We start from the raw sequence: 19,051 nt of genomic DNA, 5'->3' as shown, positions 1-19,051 counted from the left end.
AGGCCCCTCTCCCCCTCGCCCGTCTTTGTTACATCTTTAGCAGCTTTGTGCGTGCGTGTCCTTTCTCCGGTGTCATCGGCTTTACTGCCAAGGGCTGGATGTGTATGTTGGGCGGGGGGGGGACGGGCCGAGCTCGCAACAGGGGTCGCCCAAGTGGGCGAGAAAGAAAGAACCGGGCGCCGAGGAAGAGCAGGGGCCCCCAAACTTACTTTTGTTTTCTTTCTCGATCTGCTCCAGGTAGCTGGCGGCCTCGAGCAGAATCTGCACGTTCTGCAGAAAAGTGTTGATGTGCTTCTCCATCGAGTTCTCGCTGGTGTTGAAAATGTCTGAGAAGGGGCACCTGGGCTTGGCCCCAGCGGGGTCCTCGGGCAGGGCCGGGGGCTGGGGCGCGGCCACGGCGGGGGGCACAGCCGGGGGCGCGGCGGGGGCCAGCCCCGCGCCCTCGCAGCGCGCCTCCTTGCGCGGCCGCCCGCGTTTGCCCATGGAGGAGCGGGGGTCCGCCGAGCTCGTCCTCTAACGGGGCTGCGCGGCCCGGCCGAGCTCCGGGCCCCCAGGGAGACCCGGCCGGCTGGAGCAGAGAAGGCGCCGGGGCGAAAAGCCGGCCTGACTTCCCGAGCCTCGCTGCCTGCAGTTGTGTGTGTGAGTGTATGGGAGTGTGTGTCGGTCTCGCTGTGAGTCTGTGTGTATGGGAGATTGAATGAACCTACAGGACAGACGGAGGCACTCTGGCGCCTGGGTCCTAGTGCGAGCCTGTCGCCATCGGACCGGTCAAAATAAAAGGTGGAGACTAGCGAGCGAGGCAGGGACCGCCCCTGCCCGTCCCCGCAGGCTTCCCTGCCTCTCCCCAAGGCTTACCACAGAGTAGAACACTGTCTTTTAACCGGAATGGAAAAAAATACCTGATGTCTCTGGGTGCACCTGCATAAAAACAAACTACTTTTTTCACAGAAAAATAATGCCTCAGAAAGTGTCCAGCACAATGCCTGGCACATAGTTAGGTCCCCATACATGGTGGCTGCTATGACTTAAAAATAAATAAATAAAAGCTCCCCAATCCAAATGGGAAGAAGGGAACCAGTGTGTAACCAGAAGATCCCCCCACCCCCAACACAAACACTCCTACTCACAGACACACATACATACGTAATCACGCACACACTTGCGAGGCACCTGTGTGTGCCTTCACACAGTCAAATGAAATCCCAGGCCGTCCAAATCCGAGTTACAGATTTACTCATGCCTTTCTCCCTTCAAATGCAAAGTTATTTTCCAGAAGTGGGAGGAGATGTCAGCATCCCTCTCCACACTCCTCTGCCCAGCCTTGGTTCAGCTGTGCAAAGCTCACACCAGGATGCCTCCACACCTGGCTCCCTTTAATTTGAGAGGCAGAAGTGGCAGCTCAGGAACCACCCCCCTCCCCAGCTGAATTCCACCTTTTGCCTCTGAAAACCCCTACCCCAGCTGACATTGTTTCACTGCCACTGCTGTCCGCAATCATGGATGCTTTCCAGCCCTGGGAAGTACTGGAGGTGTCAGGGGATGATTGAAGGCTGCTCTAGGGTGCCATAGGAAAGGGTTCAAATCCCAGCTCTGCTGCATACAGACTGTGTGAGCTTGGACAAGTCCCTTAACCTCTCTTGGCCTAAGTTTCCACATCATTGAAATGTGTGATAAGATGCTTGTGTATTGTATCTGACTTAGCACACTCTGGCCCATGGTAAGCTCTTTTTCTTCCAATCCAGACCCAGGCAAGAGCCTGAGTCCCCTATTCTGATGTAACTTGTATCTAAGAAAGGAACAAGATGTAGTGAACAAGACTCTTCTGCACTTCCTTGGAAAATATCTCTATGACAAGCCCATCTAAATATGGTTACTTTGCAAGGTCACCTGGAGTTTTCCTCCAGGGGAACCATTTATATAGAGGACAAAGACAATGCTGCCCCCTGGAGGTGTGCGATGCAGCCACCCTACTCAAAGGCAGCTTCATACACATTGTCATAAAAACTCTTGATGGCCGGACGCAGTGGCTCACGCCTGTAATCCCAGCACTTTGGGAGGCCAAAGCGGGCAGATCACCTGAGGTTGGGAGTTCGCGACCAGCCTGACCAACATAGAGAAACGCTGTCTCTACCAAAAATACAAAATTAGCCGGGCGTGGTGGCGCATGCCTGTAATCCCAGCTACTCCGGAGGCTGAGGCAGGAGAATGGCGTGAACCCGGGAGGCGGAGCTTGTAGTGAGCCGAGATAGCGCCACTGCACTCCAGCCTGGGCGACAGAGCCAGACTCCGTCTCAAAAAAAAAAAAAAAAAAAGTTTATCTTCCATTATTAGAACAATTACTGATTTTTTGCTTCTGTGAGAACCACAACCTGAGTTATTCGTGTTGAAATGCCTGTAAACATCTAAAAATGTTAGGAAGACCTCATGTATGCACAGTTTCAAACAAGCTTTCTCCAATGCCATTTTGCAAAAACTGGCCCTTGTGTGAAACAGCTCTGATCTCTCTTGCCCCAAATGAAAGATGGTACTGAGACAATGAACCAGCTAAGCCCAGAGAAAACCTTGCTTTCTCTTTAATTGCCCATTGGTGGCATGGGTCAGATGTATAGTACTGCAACATACATGCACCACCAAGACAGGCACACGCATGCATGAGTGCCATGGTGGGGGAAGGGTGTTTTGTAATTATTTATTTATCCCTGTTCCATCTCTCATAGGTCTGCGAGTTTCAGAAAGCCCAGTGGGAATCTTCAAGCTGGGCCACGGATCTGACCAAAGCCAAAATAAACAATGGCTTGAAGAAAATCTACAAAAAAGTGCTGATTTGCACTATTCCCACAGTCGGCCACAGCCCCCACCATCATTCCCATGGAAAACACCACGGCTGGTGCCAAATCAAGTTTTCCCCCCATCATAGGGGCATTGTTTTTTGTTATTATGTGAGTTCTTAGCATCAGACAATGGCACCACAAGAGACACAGTGGAAGCAGGAGAAATGCCTTTTTGTTTCACAAAGTCTGTGTTACTGTGCCCCCAGAGTCTCGCATATAGTTTAGTTGCATATATTCATTTTGGTAACACGTATGTGGAACGACGAATGTGCCAAGCTAAAGCCCGAAGCCCCCTCCTTATTTGTTTTCAGAGCCCATCAAGTGTTAAATCATATTAACATCCCATTGCTCTCTCCCTTCTCCCGCTCCGTTCCCCAATTAACAGATTTCTCTAATAAAGTTGGCCCCAACAGAAAGAGTGGTGTTTCAGGGGTTATATCACAGGACAGGCATCCAGGATGCTGGGTTACAAGCTCAGCTCCATTCCCGATTAGATTTGCTTCCCAGGAGGAGCCATTCAAACCCTTTGCAACCCCCCCTTTCTTTGGGGTTTTGATTCCAGAAGTAAACAGGCCCCTTTGGAAATGCTGAGAATTTCTGCATAGAACAGGTAGGGGATGTGAATACAGCCATTCTGATGAGAACACATGTGAACTCTTTGAAAGAAAAGCAGAAATGCCCAATGAAGTCAGCTAGAATGCTCTCAGAGGGCCCGGGATATCTTGGGTGCCCAGTCGGCCTGGGTCCTGCTTTCCCAACACTCTGTTCATTTGTTTGTTTGGCTTATTTGCTTGTTTGGCAATACCTTTCCATGGACCTTGTTTGTATATTAAAGCAAGATTGTTCTTTCTTTTATTTGCCCCTTTCCCCCCAGACGTTCTATACTCTTACATCAAAGGAGTTGTTTGGCCTATAATTATGTCTTTATGTACACAGAGGCTGGTTAATTACTGAGAAGGCGATGGATGCGTTGCCATCGAAACCTACCCACCTTGCATTGGGATGGGATGCTCTTCCCTCTGTCATGGACCATTTTGGCTCTCTTGGGTTCCTTAGCCTTGCTCTTCCTGCCTCATCTATTCCCCACTCACCAGCCTTTTCTGCCTAAATCCGTCACTCGTCCACCCTCTAGTTTCTCCTTGGACCTTGCCAAAATGTCCTAGTCAGATTCTTTCTTACTCTTTGCCCTGTGATCTTTGTACTCAGACTTGGCAAACACCATGAAGAGCTCTTCTGTCCCCTCCCTTGTCACTTGAGTCCTAATTCTCAGAGCTTTCCCAGCCACAGTTTTCCTGGGTACCTTTCCCTTTTGGAAAGGAATCATCTGGCAGTGAGATGAGGAACTGGCTCACAGCTCCTTCTCCTTGGGGGCCTGACTCTTGCTTTCATTTGTTAGAAAGGAGTGGCCCTGTAGAAGGCCCAAGAATAGAGGGTTAGGAACTGTAAGACACAAGCAGAATGGTAGGAACAAGGAGAACTGTGAGACTCTGCCTCTCCCATGGCCTAAAAGTGCTGACCAGGCCTCCTCTAACCACTGCCCATACCACCCACCACCACCCACACACTCACCAGTGGGTATAGACATGGGCAGGGGATAAGTAGCCTCCGCCCTACAGTGGAGTTCACTGGGTGTCACCTGCTCCTGGAGGCATTATCTCAGCTCTCCTGGACTCTGCCCTCCTTTCTCCCAGAACTGTGAGTCTGGCAGCCTCTTCCTGGTTCAGCAGACTCCTGGGCTTCTCCTGTCCAACACCCAGTACTTAGAGGGCTTATTAGACTATGAGCTCATCAAGGGCAGGAAGCACACCTTGCTCCTCCTAGCATCCCCAGGCCCTGGCACCTAGCACATGCATGGCATAATACTGGGGCTTAGGTCACGAGTCAAAGGCATGAATGCCCTTCCCTGCCTGGTCAGAGCCTCGGTGCCGGCCGTTCATGGCTTCTCGTTCCAGTGGTGAGAAGAGGCATTTGATGCTGTCTGCAAAACTATTCCTGAGTCACTCACATTAAAGTTTAAATATCTAAATGCTGTCTCCATGGAGAAGCCAGAAACCCATTGAGCCAGATGGTTGAGGTTCCATTACAAAAAAGTGCAGAGACTCAGCTGCCCTGTCCCCTGTCCTTACTGCTGGTGACAGATCTGGTGACAAGATGGGTCTCCTGTGTTATAAGATGCCTCTAATGAAGAATTTTCAGAAATCACCAGGCGGTGAAGGCAGTGGCCTGAGACTAAATTAGAAGTCAGATGGAGCTTTTCTCACATCTCCCCCATTCTAGAGTGTCTTCTCAGTCTTTCAGGCCCCAGTTCTTTAACATCTCCATATTTTTTAATTAATTCAGCAAAAGTCTCTAAATTTATGTACATTAAAGTGGCAGGTATCAGTGACTGACTAGCTTAAATATGACTTTCCCTGGAGGCGTTTGGAATTAAAGATGACCAGTGCCTTAAGCTTTAAGGAATAAAATTCTAATGGTAAAATATTAGGCATCAAGAGATGAAGGGGCAAGGTAGTTTGCAAGTGGCAAAGGGTTTTCCTCCTGATTATCAGCTAGCTGAACTTGTATAAGTCACTTAACCTCTCAGATAATCCGTGTTATCATCGACGAAGTGGGAAGAACAATGCTTGCCTTGCTGAAGGGGTATATATGAAGAAACTTTTGAAACCGTGAAGAGTAGTGTGCGTGGCTGGGCGCGATGGCTCATGCCTGTAATCCCAGCACTTTGGGAGGTTGAGGCGGGCAGATCACAAGGTCAGGGGTTTGAGACCAGCCTGGCCAAGATGGTGAAACCCCATCTCTACTAAAAATACAAAAAAATTAGCCAGGCATAGTAGCGCACGCCTATAATCCCAGCTACTCTGGAGGCTGAGGCAGGAGAATTGCTTGAACCCGGGAGGCAGAGCTTGCAGTGAGCCGAGATCACGTCACTGCACTCCAGCCTGGGTGACAGAGTGAGACCCCATCTCAAAAAACAAAAAACAATGGTGTGCATGTCAGGATAGAATCAGGCTACAAAAGTCCTGGAAGATTTTTAGGGAAAACAAAAACAAAAATGACAAGAAAATGGGAGAAGAAATTAGAAGACCAGGGCTTTGGGCCAACTCTTCTACTGAACCACTGTGTAATTTTGAATAAACAATCTAGTCATCTGGTGCCTCGGTGTCCTCGCTGATGAAGGGAGTATTCCATTGCCACAGAGTCTACCTCTCTCCACCATTCCAGAAAGCTTCATTAATTCATCTCTCTTATGTTCATGAATGGCAGACTGGGATGTCACTGCCCAGAAGTATTTGGAACAGCATGGGAGAACTATTGTGACCACATCGAGCTGGTAAAATTCTAGCCCAAGGCAAAAAGATTGGCATTTTAGGTCACCCAATCAGCCTCATCTCTGGAAAAGACTGCTTCCCATTGGTTCTTTTTTGGAAAGAAAAAAAAAAAAGAAAGAAAGAAAAGTTGAAGAAGCCTCATTCCTAGTCTAGGGGCCTAGGACTCCTGGACTGAATAATCTGGAAGACAGCCTCCCACCCAACATTGGGGGATATACAAAATCTGCTGCTTCTAGTTCCTGACCTTCTGCCTGGACACCTGCCTACCACCCACCCTGTCCTCACCTCTGGAGTCTATTTTCTCTTTCTCTTTTTTCTGTCTCTCCTACCTGTAGCCTATAAGTTGTCCTTCTCCCTTTCCTTATCCAAAGCACAGTTCTCATGGGTGAAAAAGTTGATGAGCACTGAAGTGAGTATGTTTATCTGGGATAACAGATCCAGGAGCACATACTCTACATACACGTTAATTCATTCCATCAGAGGATGTTGAGAGTCTCCTGTGTGCCAGGCTTGTTCTAGGTGCAGGGACACAGCAGTGAGCAAACAGCCAAAACCTTCCACCCTCACAGGACTTATTTCATACCCAGGCATACACATGCAGATGTATATACAAAAACAGGCCCCTTAACTGCTGTGTCTTTCAGACAATGAAATGTAAACTCAAATTAGGGCCTGAGTAGCAGGATTTATACAGAAAGACGACTATATCCTCTCCACACACTGCAGAAATAGTCATAAAAGTGAGGAATGGTTTGCTTTCATGTTTTCCTTTTCTTTCTCCTTGCTTATACTGGAAATTAACTTTCGTTTGCATACAGCTGACCCTTTGCATGTTACAACAGTACCAAGGCCAGGCACGGTGGCTCAAGCCTATAATCCCAGCACTTTCGGAGGCTGAGGCGGGAGGATTACCTGAGGTCGGGAGTTTGAGACCAGCCTGGCCAGTATGGTGAAACCCCCATTTCTACTAAAAATACAAAGTCAGCCAGTCATGGTGGTGCATGCCTGTAATCCCAGCTACTCGGGAGGCTGAGGCGGAGGTTGCAGTGAGCCAAGATCATGCCATTGCACCCCAGCATGGGTGACAATAGTGAAACTCTGTCTCAAACAAAACAAAACAAAACAGTATCAAGACACACTACATCATGTATTAGAATAATTTAAAATTTTTCATGTCATTCTAATTCAGTGTTCTGAAGATCTCACAGATATGTGTGCCTTGCCAAAGAGTCACGTCAAAACAACTGTATGAAATTATAACCTACCTGGAAAAGTCAGAAACATAATCAGAGGCTATTTCCATATAACTACACCCTAAAAACACCCATCCCAGACAGGCAGGCACATGAGAATAACATGTTGGCATACAGTTGCAAGAACCTGCTCTAGACTTTCGATAGTTATTGCATCATTGTGAAAGTAAAATTTAGTGGAAAATACCAAACAGGGAGACTAGAATTGGGAAATTCTTCTCCATTTCCTGTGTCACGTTTCACAGTCTTCAAAGATTTAGGCTCTATCAAATCCTAGACTAAACTGGTGTTAAAAAAAGGTCTTCTCTTGGTAGCTTTATTCTTAAATTCTTTGGACATGGACACTTTTGAGTGCATTATAAACATGGGTAATATGGTCCCATATTGTCTTAGAGATGCTGTCATTGTAAGAGCTAGTATTTATAGCATGCTTAGTACAGGCACATCTCATTTTATTGTGCTTTGCTTTATTGCATTCCCAAGACGCTGCATTTTTCACAAATTGAAAATGTGTGCCAGTCCTGCATTGAGCAAGTCTATTGGCGCCATTTTTCCAACAGCATGTGCTCACTTTGTGTTTCTGTGTCACATTTTGGTAATTCTCAAAATATTTCAAACTTTCAAATAATTATTATATCTGTTATGGTGATCTGTGGTCAGTGATCTTTGATTTTACTATTGTAATTTTTGGGGCACCAAGAACCACACCCACAAAAGATGACAAACTTAATCAACAAATGTTGTGTGTGTTCTGACTGCTCCACGGACCAGCTATTCTCCCATTTCTTTCCTTCTACTGGGGCCTCCCTATCACCTGAGACACAACAATATTAAAATTAGACCAATTAATAACCCTACAATGGCAAGTAAGTGTTCAAGTAAAAGGAAGAGTCACATGTATCTCACTTTAAATTAAAAGCTAGAAATGATTAACCTTAGTGACAAAGCCTACATAGGTTGAAAGCTAGGCCTCTTGTACCAGTTAGCCAAGTTGTAAATGCAAAGGAAAAGTTGTTGAAGGAAATTAAAGGTGCTACTCCAGTGAACATGTGAATAATAAGAAAGTGAAACAGCTTTATGGCTGCTATGGAGAAAGTTTTTAGTGGTCTGGATAGAAGATCAAGCCAGTCAGAACATTTCCTTAAGCCAAAGCCTAATCCAGAGCAAAGCAGCCCTAACTCTATTCGATTCTATAAAGGCTAACAGGAGTGACGAAACTGCAGAAGAAAAGTTGGAAGCTAGCAGAGACTGGTTCATGAATTTAAGGAAAGAAGCCATCTCCATAATAACATAGCCATCTCCATAACACGTAGAAGCTGCAGCAAGTTATTGAGAAGATCCAGTTAAAATAATGGATAAAGGTGGCTACGTGAAACAACAGATTTTCAATGTGGATGAAACAGCCATCTATTGGAAGAAGATGCTATCTAGGACTCTCATAGTTAAATAAGTCATAGAGAGAACAAGTCAATACATGGCTTCAAAGCTTCAAAAGCCGGGCTGACTGTCTAGATAGAGGCTGATGAGCTAGTGCAGCTGGTGACTTTAAGTTGAATCCAGTGCTCATTTACTATTCTGAAAATTCTAGGGACCTTAAGAATTATGCTAGATCTCTATGCCTGTGCTCTATAAATGAAACAATAAAGCCTGGATAACAGCACATCTGTTTACTGAATATTTTTAAGCCCACTGTTGAGACCTATTGCTCAGAAAAAAAAAAAAGATTCCTTTCAAAATATTGCTGCTCATTGACAATACACCTGGTTATCCAAGAGCTCTGATGGAGATGTACAAGGAGATTAATCTTATTTTCATGCCTGCTAATACAACATCTACTCTTCAGCTCATGGATCAAGGAGTAATTTCAACTTTCAAATCATTATTTCAGAAATTAGTTCATAAACCTGTATCTGCCACTGATCATGATTCTTCTGATGGATCTGGGCAAAGTAAATTGAAAACCTGCTGTAAAGGATTCACCATTCTAGACTCCATTAAGAGTATTTGTGATTCATAAAAAGAGGTCAAAATATCAACATGAACAGGAGTTTGGAAGAAGTTGATTCTAATCCTCATGAATGACTTTGAGGGGTTCAAGACTTCAGTGAAGGAAGTAACTGTAGATGTGGTGGAAATAGCGAAGGAATTCTTCTAATTCTAATTAGAAGTGGAGCCTGAAGATGTGACTGAATTGCTGCAATCTCATGATCAAACTTGAACAGACGAGGAGTTGCTTCTTCTGGACGAGCAAAGAAAGTGGTTTCTTGAGAGTGAAACTACTGCTGGTGAAGATGCTGTGAACAATAATGAAATGACAACAAAGTATTTAGAATATTACATAAACTTAGTTGAAAAAGCCATGGCAGGGTTTAAGAGGATTGACTCCAATTTTGAAAGAAGTTCTACCGTGGGTAAAGTGCAATCAAACAGCATCACATACGACAGAAAAATATTTTGTGAAAGGAAGAGTCAATCAATGCAACAAACTTTGTTGTTGTCTTATTTTAAGGAATTACCACAGCCACTCCACCCTGATCAGTCAGCAACCATCAACATTGAGGCAAGACCCTCCACCAGCAAAATGATTATGACTCCCTGAAGGCTTAGATGATTGTTAGAATTTTTTAGCAATAAAGTTTCTTTCTTTTTTGTTTTATTTTATTTATTTATATTTATTTATTTATTTATTTATTTATTTATTTTTTATTATTTTTTTTTTTTGATGCAGAATCTCATTCTATTGCCCAGGCTGGAGTGCAGGGTCATGATCTCACTGCAACCTCCTCCTCCTGGGTTTAAGTGATTCTCCTGCCTCGGCCTCACCAGTAGCTGGGACTACAGGTGCACACCACCAAGCCTGGCTAATTTTTGTATTTTTAGTAAAGACAAGGCTTTGCCATGTTGGCCAGGTGGTCTTTAACTCCTGACCTCAAGTGATCCGCCCACCTCGACCTCCTAAAGTGCTGGGATTACAGGTGTGAGCCACTGTGCCTGGCCACAATGAAGTATTTTTAATTAAGGTTTGTGCATTTATTTTTTAGACATAATGCTACTGTACACTTAATAAAATACAGTATAATGTAAACATAACTTCTATGTACACTGGGAAACCAAAAAATTCATGTAAGCGGCTTTATTGTGATATTTGTTTTATGAAGGTGGTCTGGAATCAAAACCCCAAAACTATAGCATCTCTAAGGTGTGCTGGTATTCCAGCACCCATACTCCATGCAGTTTCATTTCACCCTCATAATCTCGCCATGACCTATTATCATCATTCTCATTTTACAGATGAAGACATGGAGACTGAAGAAAAATAAATACTATGACCCAGATGGCATAGCTAGTAAGTGGTAGAGCTGGAGCTCTTCTTGGTCTCCATCCTGAAATGGCAAGACATTCCTTCTTCCTGTTTACAATGCACATATCTTCATTCAGTTCTGTCCAGTCACCTGTTGGTTGGGTATAAGTGTATGCAGTCTTACTAATTGGGTTTATGTGCATAAAAGGGTACTTGTTCTAATCTAATCCCTGTTAGATTGTAGATTAAAATTTCTAGTAAAGGAAACTCAGATTCTCCCTTCCCAGGTTGAGTTCTTCTAGAGCATCCACAGCATCCCCTGCATGGCCTAGCAAGCATCATGCATAGAGTAGCTACCCAATAAGCATTGTTCAATTACTGAGAACTCCACACAGGACCAGCCCAGGGAGTAGGCAGAACCTCTAGTTATTTATCAGACATTACCAACCTCCTATGTGCACCCACGGTGACTTCTCACGGTGTCTGTCTTCCCCTTCACATGATCAGCCCCACTGCTGAGTTAAAGGGCAGACACTAGGCCATTATTCACAGAAGACCCTAAGAAAATGCATGCATTTGCTGCCCTGGCCAGAGGTAGTGAAGCGGAGAGTAATGCATAGGTGCATTTGCAAGGACTGTGGATCGCATATGGCAGATTCTCAGCCTGTGCCTGTACATCAGAATCACTTGGGGATAGGATTGCCAAATTTTTCTAGTGAAAATACAGGATGCCCAGTTAATTTAAATCTGTGATAAACAACAAATCATGTTTTAGTATAAATATGGCCCATGTAATATTTGTGACATATTTATGCTAAAAATTACTCATTGTCATTTGAAATTAAAATTTAACTGAGCATCCTATATATTATCTGGCAACCTTAATTGGGAAACAACTGAGAATAATTAAATCAGAATCTCTTGAAATGTGGTCCAGATACTAATAATTTTAAAAAGGCTTCCTAGGTTATTATAGTGGGCAGCTGTGCTTGGGAATCACTGATAGAAGGGAGCTAAAATCTTGGAGATCATAGGAAGGAAAATGGGGTTTGGCCCAGAGTGGGCAACCCCTACGTAGGAAAGGAATGGAGACATGTGACAAACGTCACCTACCCAAAGTTCTGCCTTCAGGGAGCTCTGCTGGGCCACATCCCAGAGACCAAGTCAGCCACAGTCAGAGTGGAGCTGGACTGTGCAGCCATCGTGTTTTCAAGGTCACACCAGAGTGCCCAGTACCATCTCTTGGGAGCTCAGTGCCCTCCAGAGACATCAACCTTCCCACTAACCACCTCCATCCAGAAACAGCAAAGCCAGTATATGTCAAATTTCATTTCCTTTGTGTATGTGAGTTAAGCAGCCACCCAAATTTCTCCTGTGACTTGGGGAGCTCAGAGTGAAGTCCGCCTTGAGAAGTCACACAACACAGGGTCTAAAGCTTGAAGTTTGGAGCCAGACAGAGATAGGTGCAAATTCTATTTCTGTCAATTACTTTGGGGGTATATAAGCTTGGGCAAGTTACATAACCCCTTTGAACCTCAGTTTTTCATCTGCAAAATGGGAACGATAATTATACTTGCCTCACAAGATTATCATGAGAATCAAATGAGATAATGCCTGTAAAATGCCCACTTCGCCCAGTGTCTGGCATGGACAAAGCACTCAATAAGTAGTTGTTATTATTTTATCGCTGTTATCTTTCCCAGAGGTCCCCTACAGATCCCCCTCTCCCAACATCTGGCAATAGCAGGAGAGCAGGGGCCATTGGTACTGCAGGTGGGAGTGCAGTACTATAAAACCTGGAGCTCCTCAAGGAGTCCCTCTGCTGAACAGAATGTAGGCTCAGAACCCTCTGTTCCCATCTTTCAGCTTTTAAGGGAAAGACATAGGCCAAGCCTGTTAAGATAGTATTACTCTTTTAAAAAAAAAAATTGAGACAGGGTTTTACTCTGTTGCCCAAGCTGGAATGCAATGGCACAATTATAGTTCACTGCAGCCTCAAACTCCTGGGCTCAAGTAATCCTCCTGCCTCAGCCTCCTAAGTAGCTGGAACTACAGATGCAAGCCACCACTCTTCCTGGATACACACACACACACACACACACACACACACACACACACACACGTATTTATTTATTTATTTATTTATTGTAGAGACAGGGTCTCACTACGTTGTTGCCCAGGCTGGTCTCAAATTCCTGGGCTCAAGCAATCCTCCTTCCTCATCCTCCTAAAGTGGTGGGATTATAAGCTTGAGCCATCGTGCCTAGCCAAAATAGCACTACTCATAGCATAAAGAAAAGGGCTGGGGTGGATAAAAGGGACCTGACTCCCTGATTTCCAGCTGTGACTTTGCCAATAACTTGTCGTGACCTTAGGCAGGTCATTGCATCACTTACGGTTCAGTCTCTTCATTTGTTTAATGAGTATGGGCCAGATGATCACTTCCATCCATAATACTCCTTGATAAGTTCTCTTATAGAAATTCTTGCCTTGACTTTACAGCCACCTTCCCCAGATAGTTAATATTCTTTCCCTACCTATTCCCAGGGTCGGGAAGAGGAGAACTGGGGCTCACGCAGAGTGGAGAGCTTTGAAAGTTGTCGGTTTCCTGCCTTTTCTTCAGGTACATCTGTACATCTTTTCACTAAAAAGTACAACATATGATTTTTTTTTTTTTTTTTTTTTTTTGAGACGGAGTCTTGCTCTGTCACCCAGGCTGGAGTGCAGTGGCACAATCTCGGCTCACTGCAAGCTCCACCTCCCGGGTTCACGCCATTCTCCTGCCTCAGCCTCCTCGGTAGCTGGGATTACAGGCGCCTGCCACCATGCCCGGCTAATTTTTTTGTATTTTTTAGTAGAGACGGGGTTTCACCGTTTTAGCCAGGATGGTCTCGATCTCCTGACCTCGTGATCCGCCTATCTTGGCCTCCCAAAGTGCTGGGATTACAGGTGTGAGCCACCGCGCCCGGCCAAAAGTACAACATATGATCTTTAAGTTCTGTTTTCCCTTCAAAGAATGGAGGGAAACTTCTTTGCTCATTCTATCTTTTGCCCATCTTTAAGATGAGCCCAAACTCACCCAGCACTGACCATTGTCAAAGTCCAGAGTACAAATAGAACTGAAATGCAAAAGGACTATTTTGAGGGTGTCATTCACCCTCCCCACTCACTGGAGCACCCTGGATGCACCTGTTCTTTTTCTCTTAGGTAATCCTTTCCTAATCCTTTTTCAAATTTCACCTGCCATTGAGAGTCCACTGTTGTCATTTTTGAAGGACAAACCTGTTTTTCAAGTGATAATTGCATTGACCATCTGTCTCCATTAACCATCCCCTACCCCATCCTCTTTCTCCAAATCCCCAAATAACTAAAATAATAGTGAAATAAAAGACAATATATTATCTGGTTGCAACACACAGCATTTTGTCCATGTTTGTTCAATATCAGGACGAACCTAACAGCAAACATGGTACCAACAGAAAAGTTATCTGGGTTTCCAGAAGTTTTCCTGCCACAGGGTTCAGAGCTGGATAAATAGCTGCCTCTCACTTCTAATGAAGAAAATCATTTTACTAGTGTGGATCCCAAGGAGAGGTTATGTTGCTTTTTTTTACAAGGCTATATAACTGGCTAACATTCATGCTTATGGGTATTCTGAGAAAATGGCTGTCTCCATTAGGATTTGAGATAAAGTCTTAATCAAACTGGACATGAACTCCTTTTGAAGCTGCACAGGAAATCTCTGGGAAACACAGTTAAAAAGACTCTAGTTCAAAGGAAACTTCTTTATTAATAATATTCAGAGATTTGTTTCTGATTTGATTTTGGTCACTTGCCTTGCTGAAAGAAACATAATAGGAATTCAGGCCACATCTCCAGGAGATCAAATCTAAAAAGTGGGATGTGGGCTGCAGATACTTAATTTGGGGACATCACCAGCCACCAGTCGGAGTTTTGACGTGGTAAAGCAAGACCCAACAGCTGGGCATTTTGGTGTTTTTAGGACAGCCATTCGGAGTGTAAAACTATCTTCCCTCTTTGAACTGTGGAGATTTAACATCCTTTGATGGGGTTAATTTTACTGTGATAACAGATTTACCCAGAAAGGATACTTGAATAACTCAGGCCTGATTAGCTCTCTGGAAAGATGGGCCCAAAATATCTCATGGAGACGTTCTATTAGCAAAGGATTTTGATCGCTTAAAAATGTTGATGAGTTACGCTGAAAGTTGGAAAGATACTGAAATTTTAGTGGGTTTTTGCTTTGGTTAAGAGGTGTAAGTAAAAACGGGGCAGAAAGAATTTCTATTTTCAAAAAGAAGGGGTAGACATACTTTTCTCTATTCCCCCTAAGCACAACCCCAAACCTTAGACATTATATATAAAACAAGCATAAGACAACTCTAAAAGATGGAGAGAGAAAGGAAGACTGCCCAGAGATCTCAGAAGCCTAGGAACAACACAGTGATTAATTCTCTGGATTTTATTTTTGCCTCATATGTTCCAGGCTTGGAGCTGAAGAAGCCAGTAACCTGGACACACCAAAAAGTGCAGAGGCAAAAACAGTCTCAACAAAAGCCTATTCTCTCTAGCCAAAGGACCAGGAAGGGGACAGCCTAACACGACAAAAACTTTTAGATAATAAGCACTCTACTGCAGCCAAGTACCACAGAGAAACTGTGACCCCACCCACACTCTCACCAGAAAAGGCCAAGTGGGGAGCCTCAACTTTCACCCTAGCCAGGCTATAGCACGCCTTCCAAACTCCTCCACAAGAATGATGTCAGAGAAAGCAGAATAGGGGCCATGACCTTCAATCTTACCAGCTGGTAATAAGGGCCCTCCCCACTGTGGTTAGTGGTGACCACAGAGGCGCTCCCATTCCTGCACAATTTAACACAGCGCCCCCTCAAGTGTCCATGGAGACCAACAAGGGAACTTGGACTTCTATCTCCACCTAGCAGTAACAAGGCAGTACCTTTTCTTCCCCCGCCATGGTGGTGTTAGAGAAAGCCACATGAAACAGAAGGTCTAAATAAAATGCAGAGCCTTATAACATAACAGGAAAATTTCCAGGTTTCCATAAAAAAATCATTCGTCATTCTATGAACCAGCAAGATCTCGAACCAAATAAAAAAGACAATTGAAAGATGATGGGAGCAGGAGGGAGAATTGAGGAGATGTTGGCTAAAGGATAAAATTTCTGTTAGGTCTGGGCATAGTGGCTCACCTCTGTAATCCCAGCATTTTGGGGGGCCAAGGGGGGCAGATCACCTTAGGTCAGGAGTTCAAGACTAGCCTGGACAACATGGTGAAACCCTGTCTCTACCAAAAATGCAAGAATTAGCAGGGCATGGTGGTGCACACCTGTAATCCCAACTACTCGGGAGGCTGGGGCACAAGAAGCGCTTGAACCAGGGAGGCGGAGGTTGCAGTGAGACAAAGTCGTGCCACTGCATTCCAGCCTGGGCAACAGAGCAAGACTCTGTCTCAAAAAAAAATTTTCAATTAGACAGGAAGAACAAATTCAATAAATCGATTTACAACATGGTGCTTATAGTTACTAGCAATGTACTGTATACTTGAAAATTGCTAAGAGAGTAGATTTCATGTTTTCTCACCACAAAAGATGATAAATATATGAGGTAATGAATATGTTAGTTCACTTGATTTAGTCATTCCACAATGTATACATATTGTGTATATACACATATAAACACAACAACATGTTGCACATTATAAATGTATACAACTTGTGTTTGTCAATTTAAAAAATAATTTTAAAAATAGATGACAATGCTTAGATGAAAGAGAAATAGCTACGATAAAATGCTTCAATGAATAATTACAAACATACTTGAAATATATGAATAAATAGAAAGTCTCAGCAAAAAAAAAAAAGAAGATATAAAGAAGAACCAAATGGAAATTGTAGAACTAAAAAGTACAATAACAAAAGTAAAAAGTTCAGTATATAGGTTTAACAGCAGAATGGAGGAGACAGAAGAAGCAAAACTGGAGCTGGAAAACAGAACAATGAAATTATTCAACTGAACAATTGAGAGAAAAATACACTGAAAAAAATGAGCAGAGCCTTATGGAACTATAACAAATGATTTAACATTCCTATCACTGGAGTTCCAGAATGAGAGGAGAAAGACAGCAAGGCTGGAAAAGTATTTGAAGAAATAATGATTGAGAACTTCCCAAATTTGTCAAGAGACATAAACCTACAGATTCAAGTAGCTTAGTGAACCCCAAACAGGGTTAATCCAAAAAGATTCATTCCACCATAATTAAACTAAGCTTCTGATTCCAAGATAACCATAAACTAAGCTTCTGAAAACTAATGACAAACTCTTGAAAGTAACTAGAGAAAAATTATACTTTATCTGTAGGGAAAAACAATTCAAATGAGAGTACATTTCTCATCAAAACCATATAGGCCAGAAGGAAATGGCACAATCTTTTTCAAGTGCTGAAAGAGCTGTCACTTGAGAATCCTATGCCTACTGAAAATATTCTTCAGGGATGAAGGGAGTATCAAGATATCTCAGATGAGGAAAGCTAATAGAATTTGTCACCAGCAGACATACTCCAAACGAATGGCTTAAAAAGTTCTCTAAACAAGAAAGTAAATAATTTTTTTTAAAAAAGGAACTTTGAAACATCAGGAAGAAAGAACATGGTAAGTGAAAATATATGTAGATATACTAGGCTTTCCTTCTCCTCTTGAATTTTTAAAATTATATTTTAATGGTGAAAGAAAATAAAACTGTCTGACATTGCTCTAAATGTATGTAGAGGAAATAGTTAAGATAATTATATCACAGGATATGTAATTCTCTTAACTATATGGTATATATGGAAGATGGCAAAGAATGGAGGAGGATAAACATAAGTAAAGAGAGGTAAGGGTACAATGCTTCATATGAACTGGTAAAGTGACGATATTAGTAGACTGTAATAAGACTCCATAAAAAGCTACACAAAGAGATATTCTCAAAAATACTATAGAGAAATCAAAATAAAATTCTAAAAAATGAAAAACAGAAAACAGAACAAAAAAAACAAAAAATAAAATGGCAGAATTAAGTCTAACACATCATGAATTACATTAGATATAAATTGTATAACACACTAATTAAAAGATAGAGATTGACAGAATGGATTTAAAAACATGACCAAACTTGCTGTCTACAAGAAACACTTCAGGCTGGGCGTGGTGGCTCATGCCTATAATCCCAGCACTTTAAGAGGCCTAAGCAGGCCAATTGCTTGAGCTCAGGAGTTTGAGATCAGCCTGGGCAACATGGTGAAACCCCGTCACTACAAAAAATACAAAAATTAGACAGGTATGGTGGCACACGCCTGTAGTCCCAGCTACTCAGGAGGCTGAGGTGGAAGAATTGCTTGAACCTGGAAGGTGGAGGCTGCAGTGAGCTGAGCTCATGCCACTGCACTCCAGCCTCAGTGACAGAGTGAAACCCTGTCTCAAAAAAAAAAACAAAAAACAAACCACCTCACTTCAAATGTAACACTATAAGCAGGTTGACAGTAAAAAGATGAAAACAGATATATCATGCAAGTATTAATCAATGAAAAGCAGATACGGCTATTTGAATATCAGATAAGGTATACTGCAGAGGATAAAAAACACAAGAGACAGAGCAGAATATAATAATAAAGGAATCAATACACAAGGAAGACATATCAGTCCCAAATGTACATGCACCAAACAACAGAGCTGCAAAATACATAAAGCTAAAACTGAAAAGAAATATAGATAAATTCAATATTATACTTGTAGATCACAGTAATCTTATCTCAATAATTGATGGAAGAGCTAGACATAAAATCAGTAAGGATATATAGAAGAATTCAGTAGCATCTTCAACAAAGATGATCTAATTAACATTTATTCAACACTCTACCCAACTCTAGCAGGATACACATTCTTTTCAAGTGGCCATGAGAGATACCAAGGTAGATCATATTCTGGGCTGCAAAAATGTTCAACAAATACAAAATAATAAAATCCTACAAAGTGTGTTCTTCAACTATCATAGAATAAAACTAGAAATTAATAATAGAAAGATAACAGGAAAATCCTCAAACATTTGCAGACTAAACAATGCACTTCCATATAATCCATGGATCAAAGGAAGACACAAGGGAAATTTAAAAATACATTGAACTGAATGAAAATTCAATGCAATATATCAAAATTTATGAGGAGAAGCTAAAACAGTACTGAAGGAAGTTTATAGCTCTAAATGAAAACATGAGGAAAGAGGAAAGTCTGAAATCAACAAGCTCTCACCTCACAAACCTAGA

General features: G+C 42.9%; 1 protein-coding gene across 1 annotated transcript in view, besides 2 other annotated features; it reads right to left on the bottom strand.

The window, feature by feature from the left end:
- MXI1 (MAX interactor 1, dimerization protein) overlaps nt 1-687 on the bottom strand; it is a 79,761-nt gene extending 79,074 nt beyond the window's left edge. Inside the window, exon 1 of the mRNA NM_130439.3 lies at nt 210-687. Within this exon, the coding sequence (NP_569157.2) occupies nt 210-483 (274 nt within the window). The 5' untranslated portion in view covers nt 484-687. The remainder of the gene's footprint in view (nt 1-209) is intronic.
- Nucleotides 437-516: a silencer, noted in NCBI's record as "silent region_2807". NCBI's record gives its function as "represses an Ori minimal core promoter by ATAC-STARR-seq in GM12878 lymphoblastoid cells {active_cell/tissue: GM12878}" and the evidence as "EXISTENCE:reporter gene assay evidence [ECO:0000049][PMID:35858748]".
- Nucleotides 2,106-2,606: an enhancer, noted in NCBI's record as "H3K4me1 hESC enhancer chr10:111965444-111965944 (GRCh37/hg19 assembly coordinates)". NCBI's record gives its function as "activates a minimal SCP1, AML or CMV promoter by ChIP-STARR-seq in primed H9 embryonic stem cells {active_cell/tissue: H9 hESC(primed)}" and the evidence as "EXISTENCE:reporter gene assay evidence [ECO:0000049][PMID:30033119]".

The sequence above is a fragment of the Homo sapiens genome, chromosome 10 (genome assembly GCF_000001405.40).
Source record: "Homo sapiens chromosome 10, GRCh38.p14 Primary Assembly".
NCBI lineage: Eukaryota > Metazoa > Chordata > Mammalia > Primates > Hominidae > Homo > Homo sapiens.
This window is presented reverse-complemented; position numbering and strand designations above follow the sequence as displayed.